Genomic DNA, 4,680 nt, shown 5'->3' with positions numbered 1-4,680 from the left:
TCAAACCCATTTAACATTCAGGAGTAACTGTGGCTTTTTAGAGGCAGAAATGCATCCTGCCAGAGCTGGCATTTGGACTTGAGCTGTAACTTCAAAGTTTCTTTGATCCAAGCCCTCACCAGTACCTGCCATCCCCGATTGGAGTGCTGAGTGATCAGTGGCACTGCTCGTCCACTGAAGACACTGAGTAATTGGAAAGGCACGTGACGGGTTCCCATTGCGATAAAAAAAAAAAAAAAAATGCTCCATGCTCTACGAGTTTGTATCAGTTAACATGGTTGCAATTAAGAAATCGCTTTGTGATTTTTGCCAGTTTTAATGGAGAAAAATTAAAAGAATCAAAGGAAGCTTCAAATGCATCTAAAACTGAAGTATGTTTTAAAGCCCCCAGTGAGTAATTTTTGTGCCACTTCTTACAAAATTATTCAGGAGACTGTGAGTTCCTTGAAAATAAGAGTGACAGCACCGTTCTCTCTGGTCTTGATGGCATGATAATGCCAGCTGCCTCTTCTGTGTTTATGACATGTTGGCTATATGAGGAATTCATGCTTTAAAAATATAATACTTTGAAATCCTAATTACAATATTTAGGACCTCTGGATGTCTTGTCTTGTTGATAATCTGTTCAACTTACTGAATAAACATGAACATACTAAAACAGCATTTTGTTAATATAGATCTCTGACCTCTTTTCTGAACCCCTTGAGGCCATGTGGGTTGAAATTCAGGATTTTTTAGATTTTTAGAAAAAGGAATGATTCTGGCAAATATGTCATTTATTACCTAACACACCAAGGGATATCTGGAGCTCTTTATAATCAAACATTCATACATTTGCAGAGGTGCATATGAATAGCTGCCCTTAGTGAAGCTGAGCCTCCATGTGAAGGTGACAAAGAGATATAAATATAAACAAAGGTTCTAAATAGTCTTGTGTCAGTTCCAGTCACATTTCCTGCCAAATGAGTTAAGAAAAACTTTTGTTTATCAGAGCTTTTTGGATTCTGGAATTATGAAGAAGGAATTGTGGGCCCATATTCTGTGTGGAATCTGTCCCCCGCAGGATTGTCAAAATTAGGAATGATTTACTGTGCCATTTTTGCTAATTTCTCCCTATTGATATATCTTAAAGTACAACTTGAATCAAAGTCTCCTATATAATAAGTTCCTCTAAGGAGCTAGTAGGCACCTTAGGAAGTTACATTTCAAGCTTCTTTCTTTCATCTGCAAATAGGTTAAACCAAACTGCTATTTTCCAATGTAGAACATTCTTTTGATTCATTCATTCATTCATTCATATGAAACATTTATTTAACACTTGATATGTGCAAGAAATCATGCTAGATTCTGACATAATCCACAAATGGTGTGGAAGTAATAGTGAGTAAAAACACCAGAATGCAGGAATTAAAACCACTGAGCATAACATTCATGAAAAAATCAAACTTAGGAGATAGCCACTTTGAATCAAGGCAGCCAATATTATTGAAACAAGAGACCTGGCCTCTTGAGTTTCCCCAGACATCACACGACGGAAGATGCTTTTACTCCTAGCCACAGTCAGGAGGCAGTGATATTACTGAAGGGTAACCTTTGCCATTCTAAAGAAGCAAGCAGGAAAGAAGGAGACACTTAGACAGATGTCACCTTCACGCGGAGGCTCAGAGCTGAAGGAGGTCATGCCAGAACACTCCAGAAGCTGTTATTTGGGGATAGAAAGGGATAAAACACAGCAGACAATATTACTAATCTCTAATACCTGGGAAGCTTTAAGAGGGACAATCAGATTAGTCAGGGACCTTGGGTTACTGTTTTCAGGAGGACAAAATCCTCACAGTCCCCCGTTCTTACCTAATCTTTGCCTATGGTATGTCGTAATTAATATCCATGACTTCTTCAAAATTCATTGAGAGAGAGAGAAGGAAAAATTACTTCTCCGAGGTTTAAAAAATCAAGGAATGAAATAAAGATTTCAGAGATATTATGTGGGGCAAAAAGGGCACTAGAATGTATGGGGGCGGTGGGGGGGTGGGGAACAAGAAAAGGTTACTGGGTAAGAAGAGACAAGACATTGACCTTAAGTGGACACATGCACCAAACTATAAATTAAACACATCCTTCTCTGTGTTGCAGAAATCTCCCTGGTTCTTTCAAGGATGCCTGGGTTGCGAACGGTGCTACAGGATGGGTAATGACAAAGTGGCTTATTCCCAGGCCCTGGATGTCGCATGGGAGTGAGCAGATGAGGCCAGCGGCAGCCTCCCTGGGCTGCCATGTGGTGGGCTGGGCTCATGAAGAAACCCTTTGTTCTTCCTCTCAGTTGCCACTACAGTTGCTCTGTGTTTTATTTTCAATTAAATTTCTACTAATCCCAAACTACGGAAAAACATAGCTGCTGGCATTCTTCTTTCCCTTCTGAAAGCAATACAGTCTGCAGAGAAACTTTTCATTGTACAAGCCCCGCCTTGTACACACCATAAAAGACGCATATGCCACCGGTTTGCCGACAAGTGCTTTCAAAAAGGTGCTTAATGGGCCCCTGGACCCTGGGCTTCCAAGGCAGCCAGTGAATAGTGCCTCTTGTTAGGGCAGTTGCTATAGCAAGCCCTTGTTTTTAATTCAATTGCACAGTAAATAATACTTTACACATGGTGGGAAACAAATGGTCACTTTAAATTGCTTACTCTTCATGTGGTCAAAAAGGGGCATTTATGCTTTGAGTAATGGAGTAGAGCACCTGCTTCTTCAACACATTTGGATTTCAACTTTTTCCCACCTTGCAAGGTATTGAGGCATAATGTGTTCTAAACACTTGTATCGATGTGAAATGGGATTTTATTAACATTGTTAAAAATCAAGTTTTACAGGAACACTTCCTAGTTTGTTTGGACTGAGGTCTAGATGGGAAGTTGTATTTCTTTCTCCTCCACAGACCCTCTAAGCTCTACATTCCTTGACATTGAAGAGATGTTTGTTCCCATTTAAGGGACTTCAGGGAGAAAACTGTAGCACCAAGAAACAGAAAATATGGTTTGGTAAGCATCTGTGTCACATGATAAATAGTCGACAGCTTGGGGAATATCTGATTGTTCTGGAAACCTAGAAAAATGGGAATGGGCTGAAAGAAATCAGAGGGAGACAGAAAGGGGGCACCCCTCCTGGTAACCCACAGCTGGGGTGGGGGTCAGGAATTGTACACTTCTGGGGAATAATTATAAAAGGAACATAGAGGTTAATAAAATGGGGACATACTCCTCTCTCTAGACTCAGAAAGGTGAAAATTACTTATCACCTGCTAGAGTGGATGTGAGAACGGGCCTGTGACCAAGTGTGTGGCAGGGAATATTTTGTAATGGGTAAGCAATCTGAAATAAAGCCTGCAACAGGCTTCCCCGGGCTTCCTCACAGAGCAGCATCTTGTGGCTGCTGACTCCTCATTAGAGGACAACAGCTGTTTCTCACTATAATTAGCTCACAGTTCAATAGTTAGCTCCAGTCTCTTACACCTGTACCACACGCAACATGGAAATTACAGAAGCACATGTTGTTTTTTTTCTTAAATCACCTCCACTTACACACATTGTTAAGCATCTAATAGAAAACAACCGTCCCTTCCCTAGTTCTTTTCCTCTTTGGATTGCTTTTTAAGAGCAAGTTGGGAAAGTCTTTGTTTTTATGGGCCCCAGTTCCCATTTCCAATCTCACCTCCATGCTCCACAACCCCCCTGAATTAAAGAAGGTCTCCAGCGTTGTCAATCAACCCACCATGCACCAGGCCATAAAATCTTATTTTCAGCCACCTGCAGGATGATGGAGGGAAGAGGAAACCGAACTGAGGAAGAGGCGGGAGCAGAGCTGCAGCCGGCCGCTGAAGATGGTTTCAACAGAATTCTTTGGCGGGTGGAAGGGTGCGGAGTCTCGGGTCATTTCCTGCGAGGTCTGGGCTGTATGGGGGGAATCTGTAATAGCACTGCCTCACAGTTCCATTAGTGTCAGAACTCATTAGGAGCCCAATCCACTCGACAGCGGTGGGCACACAAAAGAAAGAACCAGCCAAAGTCTGCAGACTGCGGAGTAGTTGTTACAATTTGGGGGCAGGCGGGAAGGAGGGATTGTAAAATTCCCGACTGGGTAATTAGAGTCAGCAGGGGAGCAGATAGGCGATAGCAGGCCTTTCATTTCTCTCCTGGCTGTTTTAAAGGATTGGCAGGGGCTGCTTTCTTCCAGGGGTGAGGCGATGTGTCATAATTCACAAAGAAAAATGATCGTCAATTTGTGCCCTGTTCCTGGGTTAATGCGAGGAGGCGGACTGTGGTAACTATTGTTATTAGTATCCGGTTAGGGCAAGGAGTGGAGGGTGGCATGAGGCAGCTGGCTTGGGTGTGGTTAACCAAAGAAACTTAGTTGATTAGCTGACATCTAATCAATTAATATCACAGGTTCACGTTCCTCAAGCACTGGGTAAGAAAACTTGTGAAGGCTGTGGAGGCGTGACAAAATATGGCAGCAGTATTCTCTATACCAACTTGCTTTGGCATTACAGTACGATTTTCTTCAAATTCAACTGCAGCAGCAAAGCTAATAGGTGATGAAGCTGAAACAGACACAAAATGGTTCACTCTGGCTCTTGTGTTTTCATTTGATGACAGTTTCATAAAATATAAAAACTCATCCACCCAA

At 42.1% G+C, this 4,680-nt stretch overlaps 1 annotated feature.

Annotated features, from left to right (window-relative positions):
• Positions 3,849-4,416: an enhancer, noted in NCBI's record as "OCT4-NANOG hESC enhancer chr2:205128678-205129245 (GRCh37/hg19 assembly coordinates)". NCBI's record gives its function as "activates a minimal SCP1, AML or CMV promoter by ChIP-STARR-seq in primed H9 embryonic stem cells {active_cell/tissue: H9 hESC(primed)}" and the evidence as "EXISTENCE:reporter gene assay evidence [ECO:0000049][PMID:30033119]".

This window comes from Homo sapiens, chromosome 2 (assembly GCF_000001405.40).
Source record: "Homo sapiens chromosome 2, GRCh38.p14 Primary Assembly".
NCBI classification, from domain to species: domain Eukaryota; kingdom Metazoa; phylum Chordata; class Mammalia; order Primates; family Hominidae; genus Homo; species Homo sapiens.
This window is presented reverse-complemented; position numbering and strand designations above follow the sequence as displayed.